This window comes from Homo sapiens, chromosome 10 (assembly GCF_000001405.40).
Source record: "Homo sapiens chromosome 10, GRCh38.p14 Primary Assembly".
In the NCBI taxonomy this organism is placed as follows: Eukaryota; Metazoa; Chordata; class Mammalia; order Primates; family Hominidae; genus Homo; species Homo sapiens.
In genome coordinates this window covers 54,813,147-54,840,698 of record NC_000010.11, presented here as the reverse complement: position 1 = coordinate 54,840,698, position 27,552 = coordinate 54,813,147, and the positions used below count along the sequence as shown (strand labels likewise).

Genomic DNA, 27,552 nt, shown 5'->3' with positions numbered 1-27,552 from the left:
GTCAAGGTGAGTCTGTTGTATGTATCATATTGTTAGAGGTTTGAAATTCATTTGGCCACTCTTTACTTTTTCGTTAGAAAATTTAATTCATTTAAACTTAAATATTAATAAGTAAGGACTTAGTTTTGCCATTCTGTTAATATTTTGACTGTTTTATACTTCCTTTGTTCCTTTCTTTTTCTCCTCCTGTCTTTGTGATTTGATGATTTTTCTCCACTACTTTCTTTTGATTTTTCTCTATTTATATTTTGTGTGCCTACTAGAAACTTCTTTGTGGTTACAACAAACCTTATATAAAATATTTTATAGTTATAGGTATGTATTCTAAGCTGATAGCAACTTAACTAAATTGCTATAAAAACTCTACACTTTTACATCTCCCACCCAGACTTCGTGCTATCAATGTTACACTTTACCTCTTTTTATATTTGTGCATCCATTAAAAAATGATTGTAGTTGTAGTTATTTTTAACACTCTTGATTTTTAAATTTTCAACTAGAGGTAAAACTGATTCATGCTCGGTCATTATAGTATTAGAGTATTCTGAATTTGCCTGTCTATTTAACTATACCAGTGAGTTTGAAACTTTCATATATTTTCGTGTTGTTACTTAGTGTCCATTTATTCCAACTTGAGAATTCTTTTGGCATTTATTATAAGGCAAGTACAATAGTAATAAACTCCTTTAATTGTGTGTGTGTTCATGTGTGTTTTTTTTGTTTGTTTGATAGTGTGTTTGGTCTGAGGATGTTTTTATCTTCCTTTTATTTCTGAAGGACATCTTTGCTAGGTATAATGTTGGTTGGCAAGATTTTTTTTTTCCTTCAGCACTTTGAATATGTAATTCCACTCTTTCATGACCTGCAAGGCTTCTGCTGAGAAATACGCTGATAACCTTATGCTGTTTCCCTTGTATGTGATGAGTTGCTTATTTATTTGCTGCTTTCTAAATTCACTGTTTGGTCTAACATTTGGCAATTTGATTGTAATGTGTCTCTTGATGATCTTTCTTGGGTTTATCTTGCCTAGAGTCTTTTGAGCTTAATGAATCTTAATGTCTATATCTTTCCCAAAATTTGGGATGTTATCAGTCATTATTTCTTAAAATATGCTTTCTACCCTTCTCTCTCTCCTTTTTCTGGAACTTTCATAATGCATACTTTGTGTGCTTGATGCTGTCCATGGATCCTCTAAATTTTCTTTACAGTTTTTCCTTTATTTCTTCAACTGGCTAATTTTAAATGACCAGTTTTCAAGATTACAAATTCTTTATTTTGCATAATAAAATCTATTTGAGATCTTCATTACTTGTTTTCAATTCTTTTATTGTATTCTTCAGCTTCAGATATTCAAGATTTCTATTTGAATCTCTTTTTATGGTTTCTATTTCTTTATTAAACTTCTATTTCTTATGGATTGTTTTTTCTTCAGATTTTGTTTAACTATTTATCTGTGTCCTTAAAGTAATTATTTGGAACTCTTTGTTGGAAAGTTCATAGATCTCTATATATTTGTGGTCAATTATAGGAGTTTTATTAGTTTCTATTGGTGGTATCATGTTTGCCTGTATTTTTGTAATTCTTACAGCCTTGTATTGATGTTTGTGCATTTGAAGAAGTAAACCTCTTTTAGCCTTTACAGACTGGTTTTAGCAGTTAAAGACCACTTCTTGTTGGATTCTCAGGGTGACAGGAGTGCCTCTACAATCCCAGTTGAGTGGGATTAGAGCTGAGTCACAGGGCCTCTGTGTAGTCTGCAATGGAATCCATAGTTGCCAGACATATTACCAGAGTGGGCATGAATCCTGTCTGGTCCCTATGAGGTTTCCTATTGAGTCAGTGGATAGATTTCTGGCCAGGCAGAACTGCTTCCAGATTGCAGCTGAGAGGGGCTGGCGCCAAGTTACAGGGCTGCTTCAGGATCTGCACTAAGATCAAGATTGACAGGCCTGCCTCTAGGTACACAAAGCGACATACCTCCTAGAGGGTGGGAAGATGTACTCCTAGACTGCAGCTGCGTAGGTTTGTATCTGGGTTACATGGCCATTTGAGAATCTGCTGTGGTACCCAGTTAGGTGGGTCTGCCTCTAGTGACACAAATAAGCATGTCTCCTGGTGTGTTTCTAGGCTTATTAGTCTGTTCTCATACTGCTATGAAGAAATACTCGAGACTGGGTAATTTATAAAGAAAAGAGGTTTAATGGACTCACAGTTCTCCATTGCTGGGGAGGCTTCAGAAAATTTACAATCATGGCAGAAGATGAAGGAGAAGCAAAGGCACCTCTTGCATAATGGCAGGTGGGAAAGCATGTAAGCGAGTGCAGGGGAACTGCCTTTTCTAAAACCATCAGATCTCATGAGACTCACTTACTATCACGAGAACCACATGTGGGAAACTGCACCCATGATTCAATTATCTCCATCTAGTCTCTCCTTTGACACATGGGGATTATGGTGATTACAATTCAAGGTGATATTTGGGTGGGGACATAGAGTCAAACCATATCACTAGGTGGACAGGACTGATCCCAGACCTAGACTCTAGCTGGCAGGGGCTGGAACTGGGTTACAGGACCTCGTCAAGTACTGTCGTTCGACTAAGTTAGGTGAACCTCCTTCAAGTATGTATTCTACATACTTGCACAAGTATGTAGAATACTTGGACAAGTATGTATTCTAGCATGTTCCTAGGTGGGAAAGGCTGTTCCTAGGTTATGATTGAAAGGGGTTGGAGCCAGGGCTGAGTTTAACACGACGGTTTCCCAGAGCATGTGTGTAAGTAACTCATTCATTGGCCCTCCACAATGAGATGGGACTGTTTTGGGTCTGTAGCCAGGACTACAGTTGGTAGCCAGGGTATCGACTTGCTTTCTCAAAGTGACCCTCCTCTATTTTGTATATCACCAAAGTTTTGCAGCCTTGTATCTCGATTCCAAAGCTTCCACAAAGGCATTTTCATTCATGAATGGCTGCCGAATTATTGCTGTAGTGGCGTATGAGCAGGGGATCTCCTATTCTTCCATTTTGCTGACATCATCACTCTATTATATTTTTGACTACATTTTAATTTACATAGTTTAGATTGACTCGTTCAAAGGAATATTGTAATAATAATTGATTACTTTTTCCCACTTTCCAATTTTATAAATCACTTTATTTTTTTAAAAAAGTAACAGTTTACAACAATTAAGTTCAATTTTGTGATCATAATTTCCAGGTTTTATTCTTATTTAGTTGGATTCAAATTTACTTTTCATCTTTTAACCATGGTTTTTCTAATACTACTTGAGTTTATTATTCATCCTAGTTTTGCAATTGGCGCAGTGTGTGTGTTTAGGGGTGTATATGGGGACATGTGTCCCTAAAACTCATGGGAATTACATTAGTTTTTATTGTTTTTATTTTCTTTTGTTTACTTTATACAAAAACAATGTCCTGACTGGGTGTAACATATTTAGAGTATTATTTCATTCCTCTACAAATTCGTAGACATTGTCTACTAACTTTTAGTTTTGATTCTAACTTTGAAAAACTTTCAAGATGGTTTAAATCTTTCTTTTTAATGAAATTTAGTTTTTTCCTGAATAATAAAAACTTATTTATACTTGTTATTCAATATTTTAATGTAAATGTGTTGTATTGTCATTTATATCTAACATTTCTAAAATATGGTTTTCTTTTCCCAAAAATATTCTTCGTTTTGTTCTTTTCAGAAAATTGTTCTTGAAGTATTTCAACAGGTTTCTGATCCATTTGTTAGAATTTTTACCTAAATAATAACAATAATTTTATGTGGAGATCTTCTCAATAGTTGTTTGATCTTTTCTGTTTTGCACTCACTTTGATTATTTTTCAAACTTTTCCCCTTTGTCAGTAGTTTAATTTTCAGCTTGTCATTCTATTTGTTACTTATTAGTTCTGCAATGGTATAATTTTAAACCATTTATTAACACTGTAATTTTTTCTTCATCTCAATCTATTGTTATCTTTTTTGAATTGATTTAGTTTATTCATATTAAAGTAGTTATTAGTGTGAAAAATGCTAGTGAGATTATATCTTTTTTCTCAGCTAATTTTTTGTGAACTAGATTATTTATATCTTTTTCAAAAAAATACACACAAATGCACACAGAGACACACACATAAAATCACACCATTTTCAAGGTTTGAATTTATTGCTTAGTTATTACAACTGTGTAACAATTGCAGTATAGGGTGGATTACTTCTCCTCAACAAATATAAAATATATTTTTCTCTATTTTGAAGATGATGCTCAGTGGAGACTGTACAGCTATGAGTGTGGGTGTGGGTGTGTATGCGTATGTGTGTTTGTAACAAGATCGAGATTTTATTAAATGTACTAAAAACAAGTTTCACTCAACCTTGACATTTATTTTACTCCAGTCAGGAATGCTCTCCATTTCTGATCATTCAGTCTACTGAGTTTAAAGCCTTGGAATTTTTAATCTGTCAGATAGAGTTAGACTCTGTTCTTCAATTCTAATTTTTTAATCATCCCTCTCCACTAACTCTTTATCTTCTCTGCAGACGTTTAGACATTGGTGATGAATCTCAAATGTTTTTTAACTTATTATAATTATTTCTGCAAAGTGAGAATAGAATTAGGAACTTTTTTGTGTTGCAATAAAACCTTCAGTTTTTTATAGCAATGAGTTATTCTATTTCTTTAAAACGTATGACAATAGTTTTCCACCTTGTCTTTGTGCTATCGCTGGTATCTTTTAAAGAGATTGAGAATGTTTGCATTTAATTTTGTGATGTCTGTTTGTTTATATTTTGGGAGTTTTAAAAAAATACCGTATCTTTCTTTCTTTTATAAGTGACAGTTTATTTCATCAGGTATTTGAGAGAAAGAATCTATAATCTATCTACAGACACATAGCTCAAAATTTCCTGCTATGTGATTTTAAATTTTACAATTTTATATATTTTTCTGAATATTGATGAATTTCCTCTGAATGCTGTAATATTGGTTTTTTCATAAATATTTTTGATATGTAATTGGACAGGAGCTATGTGAATGAGGGTGTGTGTGCATGGCAGTGTGTATTTTAAGGAAATGCCTGGTGTTTGGAATGTGCATGTTGGTTTCCATGTGCATCAAGGTGGGGATGTGTATGTTGGTGGTGTTTGTCTTAGTAGGGATATGTACTGGGGAACTGTGTCTATGACTGTAGGAGAATATGTGTATACTTATGGAAATTATATATGGATATGTATAGGGATGTACATAAAAAATACTGTGTGTGCATGTATGAGAAAGAGAGATGGAGAAGGAGAGAGAGAAATAATTTTTATGTGAATGGAAACTTCTGAACTTGGCAAAACCAACAGGAAGTCGATAGACACATTTTATATAATAAATGACAAATTTGTGGGTTTATAGATGAATGCTGATGCTTAAAAAATATTAATATTAATTCTAGAATTAATTCATTGCGACCATGAAGATATGCTTCTATTCCTTCTCCTGCTGAAGTCTACTGATGGTGTTCTTTGAAATTCTTATTTCGCTATTGTCTCTTTTCAACATAATATTATTATTGAGTGGGTGACCAAACTATCATTTTCTTGCTCTTTAGACTATAAGAGCACTGAGCTTCATCAGTATAGGTTTTCACTACCAATTGTATCTTCACATTCTTCAGTAAGAAACCACAGGGCATGAACAATGCAGTTAATTGACCTTTAACTCTCAATCCATGTGCTGCATGAAATAGAGATCCTCAGCAGATTTTTTAAAAGTTAAAAATACAATGGGTGCTGTATCAGCATGAGCCTAAGATGGTCAGAGATTAACACAGTGCATGCTAGGGTAGAAAGGCAGACACTTTTAGAAACAACATTGCCACTTTAAAAAAAATTCATTTTCACAAATAGGCAGGACAAGTGCAAAAGTAACATACTTTCAATGTTTCAATAATTGTGGGTCATTAAATCCTGTCTAAATGGATCACATAAACTAAGACATCTTAAATGAACATAAAATCTATAGTATAGAGTGTTTGTTTCAATATTATACCTTAAAATCCTAAATATTCTAATAGAGAGAATTATTTTTTCTTGTCACTCTCTTGTTTCTTTCTTTTTTTTCCTTGTCTCTTTCTTTCTTATTCTGTTTTTTTCACAGCTATCATACATATTGTAAGAATGTGAGTTTTGCAAATTATTACAGATCTGAGTTTAAATTCTAGTAATAAGCTGGGCGCAGTGGCTCACATCTATAACCCAGCACTTTGGGAGGCTGAGGCGGGCGAATCACCTGAGGTCAGGAGTTCGAGACCAGCCTGACCAACGTGGCAAAACCCCGTCTCTACTAAAAATACAAAAATTAGCTGGGTGTGGTGGTTCACCAGCTACTTGGGAAGCTAAGGCAGGAGAATCACTTGAACCTGGGAGGCGGAGGTTGCAGTGAGCCAAGATTGTGCCACTGCACTCCAGTCTGGGCAGCAGGGTGAGACTCCATCTCAAAAAAAAAAAAAGGTAGTAAAAACAATATTAGATATATTTTACTATTTGATAGGTAGTAGGCAATGTGTTAGGCACTGGATGTCCATTCCAGTATTTAGCATGGATATTATTAACATCTCCATTTTATAGATGAAGAAATTAAGACTAAGCAGTTGTGGTAACTTGTCCAATAAGTATCATTAACATAACCAAAGAAGATTTCTCCCATTCTATAGCCCAGGAGCCTAATAATTTGATCATATTATTGTTAAAAATATTAAAATATTTTAGTCCTCATTCATAATTGGTCAATTCCCCCTAACTCCCAAAACACCCGATCTACCCATGATCAAACACTGAAGAGGAAAGCCCCAACATAAAAGGCAGCCTTTCAGGCTCCCACGAACTAAGACTAGCATTCACTCTAATTAGTTGGTACTCACAATATATTGACTGTGAATAATTTTATATCACATTGTGTATTATCCAAGTTTCTCCATAGCAACAGAGCCAATAAAGTAGATAGAGAGACTAACAGGGGAGAGCAAGAGCAAGAACAAGAATGAGAGAGACTGATTTTAGGAACTGGCTTACATGACTGTGAGGGCTGTCAAGTCCAATATCAGTAGGGGAGGTCTGTAGGGCTGAAAATTCAGACAAAAGTTAAATCTGAAATCCATGGTGCAAGCCAGCATGCTGGAAATTCAGGAAAGGTTTCATTGTTGAAGTTTTGAGGCAGAATTTCTCCCTCTTCAGTAACCTTAGTCTTTGTTCTTAAGAACTTCAACTGTTTGAATCCATGCCATGGAGGGTGATCCACCCACTTTGTGGAGGGTAATCTGCTTTACTCAAAGTTACTAATTATAAATGTCATTCACATCTAAAAAATGCCTTCACAGAAACATCTAATGTTTAACTAAACAAATGGACAGCATTGCCTAGACAAGTTAATAAACAAAATTAATTATCATACTTTGTAACATCTACACCTTAATAATGATGCAATCATGAGAGAGTAGTTTAACTGTTCCAAACTCTTCTTGAAAGTCTATTTCTCATCAGTAACACATGACCAATGATAAATGCATCATGGTATTGTTAGGTGAATCAAATGAGATAACGTATGTGATGGAATTAAATTAGATAACATACGTGATGTTCCTGGTATATTGTAAATAAGTAAATAAATAATATATTTTGCTTTTTTCTTAGTCCCTTTTTCTTGCATAAATATAGAACTGCCACTTATTAACTGTACAAACCTGGTAGTTTCTCCTTGCAAAAAAGTCTTAGTTTCCTTACCTGCAAAATGTTACATAAAATCTAGAAGTTCTTGAGCTCTCTTTCATCTATGATGTTGAATGACCTATAGTGTCACCACTTCTGTGATATTTGTTTACCTCATCATTCATAACACTCCTAACAGAACTCTATTTTTATCTGTTAACAGAGATAATGTTTTTTGTCATATTGCACTAATTATCCAGTAATAAAAGGGTCCTCATTTTTCCATTAGTGGTAATATTTTCAAACTGAACCATCCATATTGTATTGTGTGGTTGCCCTGGTGACCAAAGTCATATCTTTGTGGGAAATAAAGTAGATAATCAGAAAACACAATTTTTATTTCCATACAAATGTACTGGCCAGATTAGGACTAAATAGCATGTTAGATCTTCACTATGGTATGCACGTGGGCATGGAAATGAGTGAATGGCAGAAAAGTAACCTTAACCTTTCATAATACAGTTATATTGCAAAGGCAATTGTTTACTACATCTAGTGTTTTCATTTTGCTGTTTAAAACATATCAACAAAATCTCTGCATGTTTATATATCTAATTAAATTGGTAATTAAAGTAGACATGTTATAAAATATTAAATATTCTCAATTTATATATTCCATTGATTATTTGTACTCACTCAGAGTTAAATCAGGTCTGACCAGTCTGCTGTGACTGATTCGGATGGGCAGTATCGGAATATTATTGCCAAGGCTTCTCCTGGGGTTCCTCATCCTGTTCCAAATCAGTCTCTTTATGTTAACAGCCGACAGGGACATCAGCTGTGCAACTAGGTTTTTCATGAGCCCATCTTGGCATCAAGATAGAGAATTGGAACATAAAAGAACCTTTAGAAATGTAGATACTTCAAAGGCAATAGAAAAACTGTAAACAAGTTTATATTTTCTGAATTCAAGGTATTTAAATACCAAGGAAAATACACCAAAATAGACATACAAATATTTATCATTTAGGTTGTGCATCAGGTTACTAGTTTAGTTATGATTTATTATTTTATTTTTATTTTTTCCCTGAGCTATTATAAGTTAACGTGTCTGTCTTAAATTTGAGGCTGTTTAGTAAAGTCTTTATACTTTGTCTTTTATTTATTAATGGGCTAGTGAAGTACGGTGGCCAATTGATCATGTAATAAATGTGTTTTTTTGGTAGTAAAATCTCTATACTATCTAAACAATATAAAATTAAATTTATCTTTTTAAAAATGTAAAAATATGCCTGGAAATGAAAATATACTGATTGGCATGTGGAATTCAAGATAATTTTCCTCTTGTGTGATTTAGCTTTTGGTTATGGTGTTTTGTTCACCAAATGCCAGTTTGTTTCTTAACTAGTCATTGTATTTCCCAAAGCTACAGTATATAGTTCACACAAACATTGAAAATTTGTGTTGTGTGTAGAACAGATCCACACTTGGAATAAGTTAGAAATGTATTATTATAAGTTAGCAGACATCACAATGTTAAAAACTGGTAAAATAGAAAAAAATAATGTGACTGTTTAGAAATCATTCAATCCTATACCTTACTTTAATTACCAATATATTAATGTGTCTTTTGAAATGTATTTAATATCTCACTTGCATGAATTATTTCAAATGTTGACAATAAGTTTTTTCTGTCACACCAAAACCTTATTATTTTATTTCATGTTCCCATGAATATCACAAAAAATAAAATATTAAGAGCATGAAAAAATGCTAAACCTAATTTTTTGTTAGATCAGGAATAAAAAAATTATCTTACATGTATCTTTTATCCAAATCTCTATTTTCAGGAAGTTAAATAGATGTTCTACGCTGAATGATTATATTTATTAGAATTTATTAAATTAAGCACTAGGTACAAATGCATAGTGATGACCTAGTTCTTCCAAGAGTAAATTAACTTTCCATAAGGATAATCACCCTTTGCTAAGGTATACAAATTATTTGTGAAAAGGTTTCTTATTGCATAATTGTATTGATTTTGTTGTTAACTGTTCCATTATGAAGTTCTTGCTTGTTAATTTTGTGAGGTACTAGAAGTTGAGGAAAGCAGACAAGTGATTTGCTGGAGTTCTTTTTTCATCATTACAGAATATTTTTTGTCTCTGTGTTGACATGTATGGCATGTCTTGCTGTTTGCTTTTAACATTTTTTCTTCTTTTTTTTGCTTTTTGGAATATGAGGTTTCCTTTTTTTTTAATTATTATTATACTTTAAGTTTTAGGGTACATGTACATAATGTGCAGGTTTGTTACATATGTATACATGTGCCATGTTGTTGTGCTGCACCCATTAACTCGTCATTTAGCATTAGGTATGTCTCCTAATGCTATCCCTCCCCCCTACCCCCACCCCACAACAGTCCCCAGATTGTGATGTTCCCCTTCCTGTGTCCATGTGTTCTCATTGTTCAATTCCCACCTATGAGTGAGAACATGCGGTGTTTGGTTTTTTGTCCTTGCGATAGTTTGCTGAGAATGATGGTTTCCAGCTTCATCCATGTCCCTACAAAGGACATGAACTCATCATTTTTTATGGCGGCATAGTATTCCATGGTGTATATGTGCCACATTTTGTTAATCCAGTCTATCATTGTTGGACATTTGGGTTGGTTCCAAGTCTTTGCTATTGTGAACAGTGCCACAATAAACATACGTGTGCATGTGTCTTTATAGCAGCATGATTTATAATCCTTTAGGTATATACCCAGTAATGGGATGGCTGGGTCAAATGGTATTTCTAGTTCTAGATCCCTGAGGAATCGCCACATTGACTTCCACAATGGTTGAACTAGTTTACAGTCCCACCAACAGTTACATTTTTTCTATGTTAATAAGTGTTATTATAATTTAGAAGCAAAATAGACTTTGATGTTTCAATGTTGAGGTAATAGAATTGGATAATCTGAATGAAAATGAGAACTCTCTTCCTGCAAGCCTCTTTCCATGAGACCCTACAAATAATGGAGCAAAGGAACAAAGATATCCTTGCAAATAGATGGGGAGATTTCTCCACATTCGGAATAATATTTATAGGTGTACTCCATTCATTGATGTGATAGTGCATAACAACAAAAAAGCATCTTGGAGCCTTAGCTATAGTGTGCATATCATTTAGAATCACATTTCATGCTTTTGAGAATAAAAGCAGGGGTTATTCATAATGACATGAAAACAACAGGAATAAATTACAACTGTCCAGGTGGTCCATATTGTCTTTTTTGAGTTAGACAACTAGGAAACACATGGATACATGGAAGCCTAGTGAGGAAATGCACAGACAACATTTTGAAACACAGAGTGAGTACTCAATGCCTTTGGAGTTGAGCACAAAAAATTAATTTGGGCTCACTAAATTTCTGGCTGTACCATTTACTAGATGTTCGACTTTGGCAAGTTATTTAACTTTTTTGAGTTTCAAACTATTCACTGAATAACCAGGATAAGTGTAGTATTATCTGCTAGTATTGTAGGGGTGGTTTCTTAAGATTTTACATATTGAGCCCTTAGAACAGTGCAAGGCATCAATGATGCAATCATAAAATACTTACTTCCACCAGTATGGCCTTTTTGTTGATATTATTATTATTGGTAGTAGTAGTAGTAGTAGCAGCATTGGTTACAGTTCTGCAATTACAGCTTTAGAATGAGAATCTAGGTTACTAACTGACCTCTCATCTAGTCTCTCTGCTTCCACTTCACAACCATTACTATACCACTATTATTCATTACGACTTCTCTTCACTACAGAAGAGGCAGAGTAATTCTTTTAAAACATTGCAATGCCTATTCATCACACTTGAGGTAAAATCCAAGTCTTTAGTCTTTATCTACAAGGGCTGTGTACAAAAACTAACCTTGGAAACCTAATTTCCTCTCCCTCTTGTCATTTCTCAACTCTGCACTTTAATACTCTGTTTTCCAGCAGTTTTTTAATATGCTATGTTCTCACGTCTTTCAGAATCTTTCCACTTGAGGGTGTGTCAAACAGGGACTTTCTTCATCAGATTCCCAAAATGTGTAGTACATTCAGGTCTCTGCTAATAGTCTCATCTGAGAAAGGACTCCCTAACCTCCTTATCTAAAATAACACTTCTGGCTATCTGTTTCTTTACCCTGCTTTATTTCTCTTTATAAACATGCCACTACCCATATTATGTGACTGTTTATTTTTGTCTCTACCATTAGAATGCAAATTTGAATATGTTGTCATGTTTCAGTGTTGTATCCCAGCACATAGAGCCATGCCTGACATATAGGAGCTACTTAAAATAAATATTTAGTGAATTCATGAAAGTAATGAATGAAATAATTGAATGTATGAATGTACTTAATAAAAGCTCTGTTTAAACAAATTAAGAGGATAGAAAATGCATTATTACCATTATTTCTATCTATAACTATATTTTTTCCTGGGAGAAAAAATATACACACACATACACATACACATACACATACATATATCTTGTACAACATCAATGAGCAGGATTTAGGGAAGTAGTTAAGCAGAAGTCAAGTCTATGGCTAAAGGTCATAAATTGAAGTTATAAATTGAATTACAATAAAAAAGCTTGATTTTACAAATTATCAACATCCTCAATTTTCATTTTGGATCCACCATTTATTTCCTTTTAGTACCCAGAGAAGTTTATTTCCTCTTTCTCTGTCTGTCTCTTCAACTCTAGAATGTTATCTCAGGACTTATGATCTCTCCTGCACTCTATGAATGGGTAGTATGGGTCCAAGCCAAGGTATATTAATGCTTCGAGCATACTGAAAATTTTACTGAAATTATATCCAAAACATTTGCTTCCCTGTAACCTAGTTGATAATTAATTCAAGGTATCAGTACCAATGGTAGTTGATAAGCCACAGCATTTATGAAATATCCAAGAGCAAAAGAAAGCCTTCCAAATAAGCTATTCAGTTGTATAAATATGTGTTTGTATATAGCATAAGATTGCATATCTATGTATATAATGTAAGATTACATATATGTTGGTATATAATGTTTAAAAAGAAGTTTAGTGGGGAAAATATTGTTGATTCATATAAAAACTTATTTCATCACCTGCGCAAAAAGTTTTTTAAATCCCCATTCCAAATTACTCATATTGAAAATTTGCTTTCTTATACATTGTTGGGCATCATGTTCAGAGAACTTGGAACATGGTAGATATACTAAATATCTGTTGTCTTTGCCAGCTAAATGAAAGTGGTGATTAGCTCTACAATAATTTTTAAAGTTTCAGTAAGCCCAGCAGGCAATTTAATAAGATGCAGTTGTTTTCTGCCAGATCTTCTATGTTGAAAATCAGGACTCTGCTCCCAAAGGAGAGAAAAAGGAATGAAATTTAGTTGATTTAAAAGACTGTGTACTGAAAATTGCTTTTTCTCTCACTGTCTATCTTGCAGACTTGATGAAAATAATTAAAATTAAAAAGTACAATATTGAAAATTAGCAGAATGAAGACACTTTTAAGACCAAGGCTCAGGAGGCTAATAAAAATATTTTTTCAATGGATCATGTTGTAGTCACTAGTTCGTACACTGCCCAGTTTAGGATTATTGAATGTTATCATCTGCTGTTTGTTTGACAATGTATAAAAAATAAAGTGTTCACTGCAGTATTACTTGAGCAAGCATTTGAAACCATTATATATATTTGTATTCTGGCTAGTGGACTCAGGAGAGACTTCATACTGAGTGGCATTTCTTTGAGAGAGCACTTGAGACATATCAATGTCATTGCTAGTGTTGACATCACTGTCCTGTTAGAGCAGCCACTGTCATCCAGAGGTGAACTGGCTATCTGGCCATCTGCTATCATAAGACATTTCCTGGCCTCCATTCCCTACAACACATGTATTCCCATATGTGCACTTGGAACCAGGTTCCTGGCATGCACAGAAGTTCAACCAGGATGTTTTTGTGTGTTTTTGGTAGGAAAAACAAATATGTCTCATCTCAATAGACAACTCCTAGTGATTGCTTGTGGTTGTTCAAAGTGCCATGTCCCAAATTCTAAGTCTGCATATAAGTTCACTAGAAAAGTATGTTAGGAACAATTTTTGATACCTTCTAGGGAGGGAATAGTAGTTAGTAATACAATAGCTTTATATTTGCCTTTTCTGGTATATATTAGCCCATCTTTGGTAATTTAGGAAATGGGAAACTTTTAACGTCCCATCCTCATATTTTTAGTGTAGATGTAAAAATAATGAGTCTTGGCATGCTTGAAATCTTACAGGTTATTTGTATGGTACAACAGAAAATTATGACCCACTGTTTACCTGAAATTTTTACCACAACACAGCAATTTTGCTTTTAATTATAAGTCGAATTAGATTTTCCAACTCCTTTTCCCTCATATTACATACATATATATACATATACACACACACACACATACATATATATGTATGTATTCCCCACAATATGACATATTGCTTTAATAGAACCATAAATTATTTCTGTTGGGTGTGCTAATCTCATTTCAATTTTTTTTTGTTTCAGTTGTATCTTGCCATCTTATATTCTCCTCACACATCTACCATTTTAAATCCATTTTGAACATAATTTTCTTTGATATGATTAACCATACTTTTATTAAACTATCTTTATGTCAGGAAGAATTTCCACAAAGCAATATAGCTGATTGAAAATTTCCAGATATCAGACCTACAGACTGATTGGATTTTTTTTCAATTAACAAACATTTATTGACTCCCTCATAAGAAAATTAGGCTTTTTACCAAGTTCCTGTGGTGTAAATATAAAAAAGACAAGGTATCTACAGTGTAAGGCATAAAGATATTAAACAATAACTTATAGTATAACAGAAAGAAGCACTAACTACTAAGTCTATCTGAAGGCATGAGGCAATGTTTCATTCTACAATGGAATTAAAATTTTTATCAGAAAGTTTGGAATACTGACTGAAAAATTTTAAATTAATGGCATAATGGACTTACATATTCAAGGAATCACTCAGTATTAGAGGCTGTATGCATAATAAATATATTATTGAGAATATGCTACTTCCTGATGTTTTACATGTTTAAGTGCACTATGGATCGTGTTAATAACATCACTAATTAAGTACATATCCTGGCATGAAAAAGGAACATATTAAGTGCTAATTAGTCAAGATGACTGTGTTTAGAAACCTATCCAAAATGAAGAACATTTAAATTGTAAAAGTAGGCTTTTTAAACAAACAACCCCATCAAAAATGGGCGAAGGACATGAACAGACACTTCTCAAAAGAAGACATTTATGCAGCCAAAAAACACATGAAAAAATGCTCACCATCACTGGCCATCAGAGAAATGCAAATCAAAACCACAATGAGATACCATCTCACACCAGTTAGAATGGCAATCATTAAAAAGTCAGGAAACAACAGGTGCTGGAGAGGATGTGGAGAAATAGGAACACTTTTACACTGTTGGTGGGACTGTAAACTAGTTCAACCATTGTGGAAGTCAGCGTGGCGATTCCTCAGGGATCTAGAACTAGAAATACCATTTGACCCAGCCATCCCATTACTGGGTATATACCCAAAGGACTATAAATCATGCTGCTATAAAGACACATGCACACGTATGTTTATTGCGGCACTATTCACAATAGCAAAGACTTGGAACCAACCCAAATGTCCAACAATGATAGACTGGATTAAGAAACTGTGGCACATATACACCATGGAATACTATGCAGCCATAAAAAATGATGAGTTCATGTCCTTTGTAGGGACATGGATGAAGCTGGAAACCATCATTCTCAGCAAACTATCGCAAGGACAAAAAACCAAACACCGCATGTTCTCACTCATAGGTGGGAATTGAACAATGAGAACACATGGACACAGGAAGGGGAACATCACACACAGGAGACTGTTGTGGGGTGGGAGGAGGGGGGAGGGATAGCATTGGGAGATATACCTAATGCTAAATGAGGAGTTAATGGGTGCAGCACACCAACATGCCACATGTATACATATGTAACTAACCTGCACATTGTGCACATGTACCCTAAAACTTAAAGTATAATAATAATAAAAAATAAAAGAAGTAGGCTTTTTATTTATTTATTCAATTTGATAATAAAGAAAGATAACATAACATTTTCCCATCTTGAGGGTAAAAGTGGTGGTATTATTTCCATCTGTCTATTTCCTCCCTATGCATTTCCTCTGAGCTTTGGGGTTAAATAAAGTTCTATCATTTGTCTTCCATGGAAACAAATAAGAGCAAATCCAGGCTTCTGGGGAATGCTCTGTCATTTTTACCAGGTCAGGGGAATGAGGCAGAACTTCATCTACCATGTTTTTGCCTCCCATTTCTTCCTATTCCACAAATAATTGGCTGACAAATATCACATAGTAGAGGCCTCTGGGAACTTGTTCTTTAGAACAGAAATGACAGCAAAGGCTGGAGAGCGCCTCCTGCCTACTCATGCATCCTGACTGTTCTGTGCTCTTTCTTCAAGGTAGCATATGGGAAAAAGCCTCAGTCTAACCAGAGTAGCCATCTAAGATGCCTGACATCTTTTCCACAGTTGTTCTTTTTTCTTCTCTGATGAGTTGTGAAACCGACAGTAACTTGGGTCAAACAAGGACTTTTACTTCTGGCTTCCTGCTCATTATATAAATTATAAAATTTAATAACCCCTGTAATAGTGGGCTTCAATACATGTATTTATTATACACATGTTTAAATCCTGAGGCAGTACTTTGGAATCCATAAACACATGGTGAATTTATACAGGTAGTGAGAGAGCTAAAGAAAGGAAATAAAATCTCTTGAGTTTTATGAGAGCACTCCTGTGGAAACTCTTCCACTGGCATTCAGACAGAAGATGTAAGGTTTGCCTTAGAAACTTTGGAACAATAAAGAGATTGTGCTAATATGCTTTGATAGCAGGAAAATGCCAGGGCTTGATAATATGCTTGACAAGTTGTGGATTTATAAACATTTAAAATAAATTTGTTTGTCTTTTCTGTTATAACCTTGGGAGTGCAGGAAAGAAAAATTGCATATACTGTTCAAATAAGCTTTTTGCAAAAATCTAAATCAAGTATTATTTCTTGGGTTGTATGATTTCAAGAACAATTATTTTTAGTCTTTTTTTTGAGTCATAAACAATTTCCATTATTTTTTCTAATTTTAAAATTACATGCTGGAGTAAGCCTTCATTGCAGAAAAATGAAGTAGAATAGCACCAATGGGTACAAGATTTGTTATCACTTGGCTTATTTTTCACTGACAAGATACATTATTATTAGACAGCAATACAGTATAGCCATTAATAGCTCTGACTTTAGGATCAGAGGAAATTAGATTCAAGTCTGATACTTCCTACTTATGATTACTCAGGACCCTCTACCCTTCATTTAATTTAACATAAAAATATATAAAAATGCTTATTTCACAGGGTTGTAGTGTGGAGTAAGTGTGAAACAACTATGAATTGCTCAGAACAGTGTTGGAATGTTACCAGTGTTACAAGCTTTTACCATTACATAACAACTGTAAGTCTTTCTTGCTGTAGAATAATAATGGTAATGTTATCTCTTGGAGGGAAGCTTAACATACAGCTACCCAAGTTGAAGTTGAGGAGCAGTTTACTGCCATGCAGTGCCATGTAAGACCATACTGGAGCCTGAGCAAAGTGAAAATTAAATGTATATGCGTGTGCGTGTGCGTGTGCGTGTGTGTGTGTGTGTGTGTTTATGCTGGTGTTTTAAAAAATATATTAACCCATTACAGGCTCACGCCTGTAATCCCAGCATTTTAGGAGGCTGAGGTGGGCAGATCACTTAAGGTCAGGAGTTTGAGACCAACCTGGCCAACATGGTGAAACCCCGTCTCTAGTAAAAATTCAAAAATTAGCTGGACGTCGTGGCACCCACCCATAATTCCAGCTACTCGGGAGGCTGAGGCAGGAGTATTTCTTGAATCCTGGAGGCAGAGGTTGCAGTGAGCCGAGATTTTGCCACTGCACTCCAGCCTGGGCAACATAGCAAGAATCCATCTAAAAAATAAAATAAATAAATATATTATATTAAAATGCGTTTTATCTTATTATTTATGAGATTTTTTTCATCCCAGTTATATGACTTTTAACAAAAAGACAAGTAACAATGGATGCTGGCAATGATGTAAAGGAAGGGAAGTATTCCTGTTCGCAGGAATGTAAAGTAGTACTGCTGCTATGGAAAGGAGTATGGAGGTTCCTCAAAAAAATAAAAATAGAATTACCATGTGATCCAGCAATCCAGAAGCTTGGTATATATCCAAAGAAAGGAAATCAGTATATTGAAAAGATACTTGCACCCCTATGCTTATTACAGCACTACTCACAAACAGCAAACATGTGGAGTCAACCTAAGTTTTCATCAAAAGATGAATAGATAAATAAATTATGGTATGTACACACAGTGGAATATGATTAACCCATAAAAAGAATGAACTCCTGTCATTTGCACTAACATGATGGAACTAGAAAACATTATGCTAAGTGAAATAAGCGAGACTCATGAAGACAAATAGCACATGGTTTCACTCATATGTGGGAGCTAAAAAAATTGACCTCATGGAGGCAGAGAGTAGAGTGGTGGTTACCAGAGGCTGAGAGGGAGAGCTATAAAAGCTTTGGTAAATAGGCACAGAAATACAGTTAAAAGGAATAGGACAGTGACACAGAAGGGCAATTGTGGTTGATAATAATTTATTGCATATTTCAAAATAACTAGCAGAGAAGATTTGAGATGTTACCAACACAAATAAATAATAAATGTTTTAGATGATGAATATCCCAATTACCCTTATTGATTGTTGCACATTGTATGCTTGCATTAAAATATCACATGGACCTCATAAATCTAAACAACTATTATGTATCCTTATAAATTAAAACATAAAAAGGTTATTAAAATGAGTGTCTCACTTGCTTAAGTTAACAGTGCCCCTGATCTCCTGTGCCCTTCTAAACCCCTGGGAGGGACTGTAGCAAAGTAATTGATGAATACTAAAAATTCAAAGCGTGTTTAAGATTAATCACCATACCAAAAGAAACAAACAGGCATAAAAAAAAATTCCTCCAAAATCTTAGAGTTCCTACAAAATGAAACTTGGTGGAGAATCTACCAAAAATGACAATGCTCACAATTTATAGTTGTGAAGCTAAGTACAATTCTGAGCTGTTGATAACAACAACAAAAAGATAATTCATAGTAGCCAGAAGACCGGATTACTTTTACATTCTCACTAGAGATATTAATATCACAAAATTGCAGTCTTGTGAAGAGGTAGTCAAAGATAATACTACCATAAATATAAGAAAAATGTGTTTTATATATCTGTGTCATGTGTGGTCCCTTATTTGTAAAAAATATTTTTTCTATATATTGTGATTTTCTTGGTATGTGCCAACTTTTAAAAACGTAGCTTGTCATGATTTGTTTTCTTATTTTAAATATTCACTTTTACTTCTAATTTTACATTTGTAATTTTTTTTTTATTAAAAAGGGTTAGAAAATTGTGTAAATGTTAGCCCCTACAACAATGGGACTCACTGTGCCTAACATCTTGAGGTTCTAATGTACATAGTTGGGTCAGGGTTTGACATAAGGTTGTGCTCAAAACACTATACTTAGGTATTTAACATTAGCTAGGATGCATAGTCTAGAACTGTGTTGTAAATATACACACAAACATGGAACTTGAAAATGCTGATATGGATTTCATTATGCACGGTTGCATTAGCATGAAAAAGACGTATGTGTCATTTTATTTCCTCAACTGGAAAGCATGGGCTAGTTACATTATATTTAATTGTTAAAAATTTTTTTTCTGGAAATAATCAAGACTGGGTAAGTAGAAGTGCAAAGAATTGATAGTCGTATTAAGAGGCAAAAGAGGTACTGTATCCATCATGTGTGTTTTGTATTATATGTTTCATTTTCCATGCAAGTATTTAGCTATTTCTCTTAAAATAGCTAAGATACATAAGCAAAATACCTTTAAAAGTTCTTTGAGGGTCATAAAATTCTTAAGATTTTCCTTTCTTTATTTTGAGTAATTTTTGCCATAATGGAATTAATATAATTCATTAATGGTGGTGGCTGGAAGAGAGTAATACTTGATAATATGTGGCTTTAAAGACAAATGTGGATTTTCCTAGGTCTTAAAATAGTGTAAGTTACTGATCCTCTGTAGATGTCAGATTTAGCAAACTATAGTTTCTTTAACTACGCATTGCTTTATGGTGCTCGTAGGAACTCTAAAACAAAGTTGAACATCACAAATCAGGATATTTAAGCAACATTTAACGTAAATGATAGTTTCCTTTAAAAATCTTGTAATAAAAAGCTTATAAAGTCAATAAGGCAGAATTTAAAATTTATTTATTATCTTGAAAGCTTTTAAATATGATTAAACCAGGCAGGGCCAACTTTGATCAACATGATTTCTGTCAACTTTGAGAACAACTTTAAAAGAAAAGATTCAAATAAAATAAAAGAATGCAATATTCTTGCATCCTACAAGACTAAATGAGATCATCAATATGGAGTGATGCTGGCAGCAAAAGGAATGTCAATGTACTCTAAAAAACGAAACTTTCTTTATCCTGATGAGTGATTCATTTCATGTAGAACATAGCGACTGGAAGAAGTATCTCGATGGAGCCCAAAAAGCTGAGTTACAGAGACTGAAAGCAAAGGTAGTTACACATCTCCATTGGATTGTTACACATCTCATTCCATCAGATGGGTGTGGTAAGTTTCCCTGTCCTACTAAGATTACTTTCCTTGTCATTGTTGGAATGGTTTCTATGGGAAAGATAACAAAACTTTCACATATATCACATAATAATACACTTTGATAATGATTTCTTGACCATTGCTTGATTTTTTTTTTCCAGAAACTTATTTTGACAGCAGTTGATACTACTTTAATCAAGTAATGCTTTAGTTATAAGGCTAAATGATATGTATTTTTATTACAAAGGAATAAACTACAAGAAAGAGAAAAAGCATTTTAGAATAATTATGTGACTACACTTCTTCTTCACAGAGAAGGAAGTAATGAAGATAATCTAGTCATGATCTACATGATCTACTCACAAGTGCTTAAAAATGTATTGAACTTACCACTTTCCAAAGGCACATACAAGACATAAAACAAAAAGAAGTGATTCCCAGTCTTTGGAGTAATGGCTTAATGTAATTTTTTAATAATGTATAGGCTGAGATAGTCTCCTTTTATTACATATTATTGAATGCCACACTAACAGTAAAAATTACAGAGAAACATTCGTGAAAATAATAATTTTAAAGAATCTTTATTCATACACCTTCCTAATGAATGCAATATTGACATTAACCCTTGATAATAAGATATCAATAAGAAAAGTTGTCAAAATCATAAACATTAGTAATATCTAGAAGGTTTTTAAAACTAGAGAAAATTAGAAAAAATAAGCTCTGTTTTTTAAAACAAATAATGTAAAATGAAAGTCAACTATTATTTGTAAAAACAGAAAAAGTAATTTCAGTTTTTAAAATTTAAACCAATTGAAAATGATTAAATATGAACATTGTGAATTAAAGACCCCAAATATGAGCAAGAGATATTAGATACACTAATTAAATATTATTTGCATATAATATTTGCAGAGTTGGTATTTCCTTATTCTATCAGTTACCATGAATGTTTAAAATGTAATATGGGACCTGCATGTCCAAAATGAGGTATATCTAATCAAGTCTTCAGCAAATATTTATGTATTAACTGTAGGCACATAATTATCCCTAGATGCTGTTCTGAAATAATTTATATTCTAGGTCAGGTGCAGTGGCTCATACCTGTAATTCCAGCAGTTTGGGAAGCTAAGACAGGAGAATTTCTTGAGCCCCAGAGTTCAAGTTTACAGTGAACTATGATCACCCCACAGCTCTTCAGTCTGCACAACAAAATGACGCCCTGTCTCTAAAATAAATAAATAAAAATAAAACATGTAAAAAGAATTTATATTCTATTATAAGAAAAATCGGTGCCTCATTTATTCTGGCTGTATAACAGATCATCTAAAAAATTAGTGGCTTAAAGCAACAATCAAATTGTATTATATCTCATATTCTGTGTGTTTTCATGACTAGAAGTTCTTTCATAGGGTCTCTAATTCCATTTCAGTCAGATAGTAGATGGAACAAAAACACTCGGGGAGGGGGTTAGAATAACGGAAAGAGATATCCAGGCATATCATTGTCTTCATGTAATCTCAGAAACTCTTCATTTATTCTGTCGGCCTGGCATAATTTGGACTTCCTCACAGCATGGCAGTAGTCAGACTGCTTATATGGCAGTTCAGGATTCTAAGTGAGCATTTCAAGAGAACCAGATGGAAGATATATGGCCTTTACCAGCTACTTTCAGAAATTACAGTCACTTCCTCTGGATTCAGAATAACAAACCAGCATAGATTCAAGGAAAGAGGTTATACACTCTGCCTCTTAATAAGAAAAGTGACAGAAAAAAAGTATGTTGAAAGAAGAACATTTGTGAGGGGGACTACGGATGTGGCCATCTAGTCTGGAAAGCACGATTTGCCACAATTTGCAATCATTAAGTAATTTTACTGAATATGCCCTAATAATTACTCAATCATTTTATTCTCTTCTTAAGTAAAGGTCTTTAGGCCTTTTCCTTAAAAATTTTTAAATCTAAATGAACACTTGTCACATGAACATTCTAAACTATATGTTAATCAATGAATTGTGATAAATAGGTAGTTTAAACAAAAATAATCTAAACTACATGGATAGATAGACAGAGGAGAGGAAAAAAAAGATGAGATGTGAATTATGGATTTTAATACTCCAAACTTTAGGGTTGTTACTAAGTACTAAGCTTTATGCTAAGATCAGGGAGGTTATAAAGAAGAATTAAACATTGTCCCTTCCCTAATACTGCCCTCTGAGGTATTTAGGCACATAAGTAATTAATTATGATTCAAGACAGAATGAAATATAGGCTTTTAGCATATGTGTAAATATAAGGGGGACTGTAATATTAATAAGATATAGCTACAGCTATTAAAATGAAAATAACTTTCAGATGTTAATGTCAGCACATATTGTAATTCTCTTAGTAAATTTAGCATTGACATGTATGAAAAGAAATAATGAACATGTTTTATGAGAACACATTGTATAGATGATATACATGGGTCTCATAGTAACCCCCAAAATACAGTGTATAATTCTTTGTAAGATTATTTTAATGCAAATGACTTGATTGAAATTACTGTGAATTTCTCATCATAGAACTATCTCACTTACAATTTTACTAATAGAATCATCTCAGTGGCAAAGATCCAGGCAGCAATGTTGAGGTGATGGGCGAGGTCACAGGAATTCTCTTTCATTTTTTGATGAACAAGAATTCATTTCAGCTTCTACGGCATTGAAACAATTGATAGAGATGAGTAAGAATGTGGGTTTTAGAGACAGGCTGACTGATTATCTTGCTCTACCTTTTAGTAGTTGTGTGATAATAGAAAATTAACTTAGAATAATTCAACCTTAATTTCCTCATTTCTAAAATAACATATATTTATTTTTAAGGATTCATGGCAAGTTTTCTATACAAGACAGCTCTGCTATTATTATTACAGCTTCTAAGACTATTATTCAAATGTAGTATGGCATGCACATTTTCACAAAGAAAGTATGACAATACATTCTAAGACTGATTTTACTGAAAATTTCTCTTAATGTATTTTACATATATAATGTTAGATTAAATATTATTTCTTGTGCATTAAATATTATTTTAATGAGTAAACCACAACAAAACTTGGTCCTGGTTGAAAGACTGGCATAAATTATAACTAAGGTTTAGGTTGCCTGCCTTTCAATTAAATACAGAACATCCTACAATTTATTCAAAAATATATGAAAGGGTACACTTATCTTTCTTAAGATAAAAGTAAATATGTAAGTTTTTCTGGAGTGGGCACTGAAGTTCATGAAGTAAGAGGAGGGACCTGTAAGGTCAATGTAGCTCAAAACTGTTGTATTTCATACCATTAGATAGTGACTTGGGTAGGGACATCATTACTTAAGAATTCATCCTGTAACTATATAAAAAATATTTGTGGACCACAGTTGCATATTTATAATTCAATTTATTTTTGTAGCATTGGGCCTACAGCAGGTCTGCTAAAGTCTACTCTATTGTGAAACATTCAAATTTATTTAACATTAATTTTGGAACTAATAAAAGTGAATTCCTTTAGCTTTTGTTTATTCTTCTGAAAATGAACAGATTATTGTGTTGAAACACTCCCCTTTACTTTTCTGCCCACACAAATCAAAGGGCATGAAAAATATCTTAGTTTCTCATTTTCCTTTGGAAAAGGCATCATGGCAACAAGCATGGCTGGTTTGACATTGTGATTTATGTTGGCTTTCTTGTGCTATGAAATAGTCGTTTCCTAAATAACTAATAAAGTGCCTTGAAATGCTTCTAACTTTGTAACTGTGTCTTTCTTCCTCACTCAGCATTTGTAGACTCTCAAATAATCTACTAGATTTTAGTTATATCCATTACCAATTTTCTGCATATACTGAAAAGTCATGAGCTTCTTAAGAGACAGATCTGAGCTTAAACCCTGGCTCTTGCATCCATTTATTTAATACTACATAAATATATAGTCAACATCTCCAATATGTCAGGCACTTTCATAGGTACCTGGAATATAATGTTGAGAATTACATAGTATCTGATCTCTAGGAGCTTATAATTTATGGAGGAGACATGTAAATATTTGCAATGTATGGTTGACTCTTAACAACACAGGGGTTAGAGGTGCCAACACCTACACCACCAAAAATCTGCATAAAACTTTTGACTTTCCCCAAACTTAATTACTAATAGCCTACTGTTGATCAGAAGACATACTGATAAAATAACAGTTGATTAACATACATACTTTGCATGTTATATGTATTATAGAGTGTATTTTTCCAATAAAGCAAGCTAGAGAAAAGAAAATGTTATTAAGAAAATAATAAGGGAGAAAAAATACATTTAGAGTAGTGTACTGTGTTTATCATCTGTTTGCAAGATGAATCATCTGTCTGAAATGATGGTCCACCTCAGCTGCAGACCTCAATCTATATAGCATATATTAAGCAATTCCACTTTTTCTTGTAATGGCATGACTTTGTTGCCTGGGAGTACTGTCGGCATCACTAGTGCCACTTTGTATGGGTCCCATGGTGTTATTCACGGTTTGGGTATTGCATTAAACATGACAAAAATACATGAGAACCTGAAGAGATTACTTTTTACTGTGATATGCAATTTACTGGAGAGATGAACTGCTGATGCAGAGATGATCCACCTCACATTGTGTTTTAAGAGGATACTCACAACACTTGAGCTCACCGCAATAGCAACAGGAGCTGGCTATGAAATTATGACTGTAGAACAGTATATAATGCAGTAAATGTTATGCAGTTACAATACTACATTTTTACATTTGTTTACATTTCTCTTAACTGTGAATGGTGCCATGTACGGTCTTTGTGTGCCCAAATTTTGATAAATTTTAAGTTTTTATAATAGATATATGTACATTTCATGGTAGTAAATAATAAAATAGACTAGTAGCTACATATATTTTATGTATTCATGCCATACTTTTTTCTTAATTTTTTCAATATTTTAGGTGACACAGTTTGTGAGTTTTTTCAACTTGTCACAAATATAAAAAAAAAAACCAACATATTTATTGAACAAAAATCCACATATAAGTGGACCTGCACAGTCCAAACCCTTATTGTCCAAGGGTCAACTTTAGTGAGGTACGTTAAAATAAAGGTGATCATTGGTGCTCCTGGTGCAGAAGAGGGGCATTTGACTAGATTTGGGTGACAAAGACACTATCACAATGTTAACTATTTAACTGAAAAGTATAAGATTCAAGGGAATAAACAAGATTTCCAATGTCTGGGAGGTGGTATGAAGGTCAAGAAATAAAATAGCCTCACATCAGATGGAAACAGGATGAAAGACTCAGAAGCACAAACATATTTGGCCATTTATGCCTAGTGTTCCATGATTGGAACGCTAAGCATGTGGGAATTATTTATATCCTACTGCTCAAGGTCAACACAAAGGTCTGATTGCAAAAATTCAAAAAATTGCAACCTCAGGCATTAATGTGTTAATGGGGAACTGTAATCATGTCTTATAGCTGATATATAGGATATAAATGGAACAACAGAAAGACCTTATTCTGATGAAGAAAGTGTTGACCAGATCAGAAAAGACCCTTTATGTTACAATAAGGACTTGTCATTTATTTATTAGCTACAAGGAATTGCAAGATATTTAGCTTCTCTGAACTCAGCTTTCTGTTCTGTAAAATGTGGTATAATGACCACATTGAAGGGTTATTATAAAGACTAAATAGAAATCATACACAAATATTTTTGCCATACTTTTTTATTAATTTTTACCTGTTAGATACACGTTTAATTTTTTTCTGTGTTGTCATTTCTGTACTTTCTTAACAAATGAAACTTTTTAAAATGAATTTAAATAAACATGTATGTATCCATTATTTGCTCTGTGCCAGTCATTATGCCAGATTCTGGAATATAGTGCAAGGGAAACCTAGTCTCTGATGTCATTAACTGTATGGTCCCGTTAAGAAGATCAACATTGTAAAACAAATGGAGGAATAAAGGACAAATTACACAATGTTATGGTGACACATAAATTTGCTTATAATATAAAGTTTAATTTGTCAGGAGCTTATGATATTTGAGATTTTAGGAACATCTATGAATTAGCTGGCATAATATATGTGTGGGAGGTAGACTGGGAATTAAAATCATTTTTTTCAGCAGAAATATTAGCATATGAACAGGACATAAGTCTGGAGTGATTGTGACATGCTTTATTAATTAAATAGTGTTCAGAATCACTAAAATGTAGGTAGACAAGAGGAGAGTGGAATAAAATAAATTTTGAAAAGAAGTATGAGGCCAGATAAAACTAGATATTGAAATTATGTAAAGATCTGTGGACATTAAACAAATTTCAGAAAACAGTAATGGATTCTAAATGAGATGTGACTTAATCAGAAATCTTTTTCACATGTCATTCTGATAATGATGTGCAGAATAGATTGAAGAGAAACAGTGGTAGAAAAGAAGGGTTAAGAGACGATTGCTGTAGTCTTGAAGAACAATGATTGTGGTACACAGAGGTTGGAGAATAAATAAGGAATAGAGCTGAGAAATGTTTATGAGGTATGATTAACTGTATTGGTATGTGTTTGATTGGAAAAGAGATAAGAGAATATTAGGAATGAAAGTGATCCCCCACCCCGCAAACACAAAAAAAGAGCTGCTCTCAGATTTTTGACTCCAGCAACTGCATAGATGGGGGTATCTTTTGCAGAGAGGGAGAATGCTAGACCACAAGTACACTGTAGTGAATAGTGGAAGGTTTCAAGGGAATTGCAAATCTGTTTTGAGTTTCTGGTATAACCACATGGAGACATCTACTAAGCAGATGGTATGTGAGAACGGAGATCTGCACTGGAGGTGAAAACTTGGGCATCATCTGCTCCATGGGAAACCTCAGTTATCTGAGTGCATAAAAGTCTAGGGAGAAAGACAAGGTTGAATGTATTGAGAAAAGTGCCTAGGACAAAATCTAAATGTTTTAAAAATTTGAGAAAAGATAGAAAAGGGGAACCACCAAA

At 33.6% G+C, this 27,552-nt stretch overlaps 1 protein-coding gene across 1 annotated transcript in view, besides 1 other annotated feature; it reads left to right on the top strand.

Annotated features, from left to right (window-relative positions):
- The window catches only part of PCDH15 (protocadherin related 15), a 1,825,172-nt gene that overhangs the window by 787,244 nt on the left and 1,010,376 nt on the right, over nucleotides 1-27,552 (top strand). The window lies entirely within an intron of this gene.
- Nucleotides 1,937-2,109: a silencer, noted in NCBI's record as "fragment chr10:56598350-56598522 (GRCh37/hg19 assembly coordinates)". NCBI's record gives its function as "represses an EF-1alpha promoter that drives an FKBP-Casp9 reporter gene in an ReSE screen in HepG2 liver carcinoma cells {active_cell/tissue: HepG2}" and the evidence as "EXISTENCE:reporter gene assay evidence [ECO:0000049][PMID:32094911]".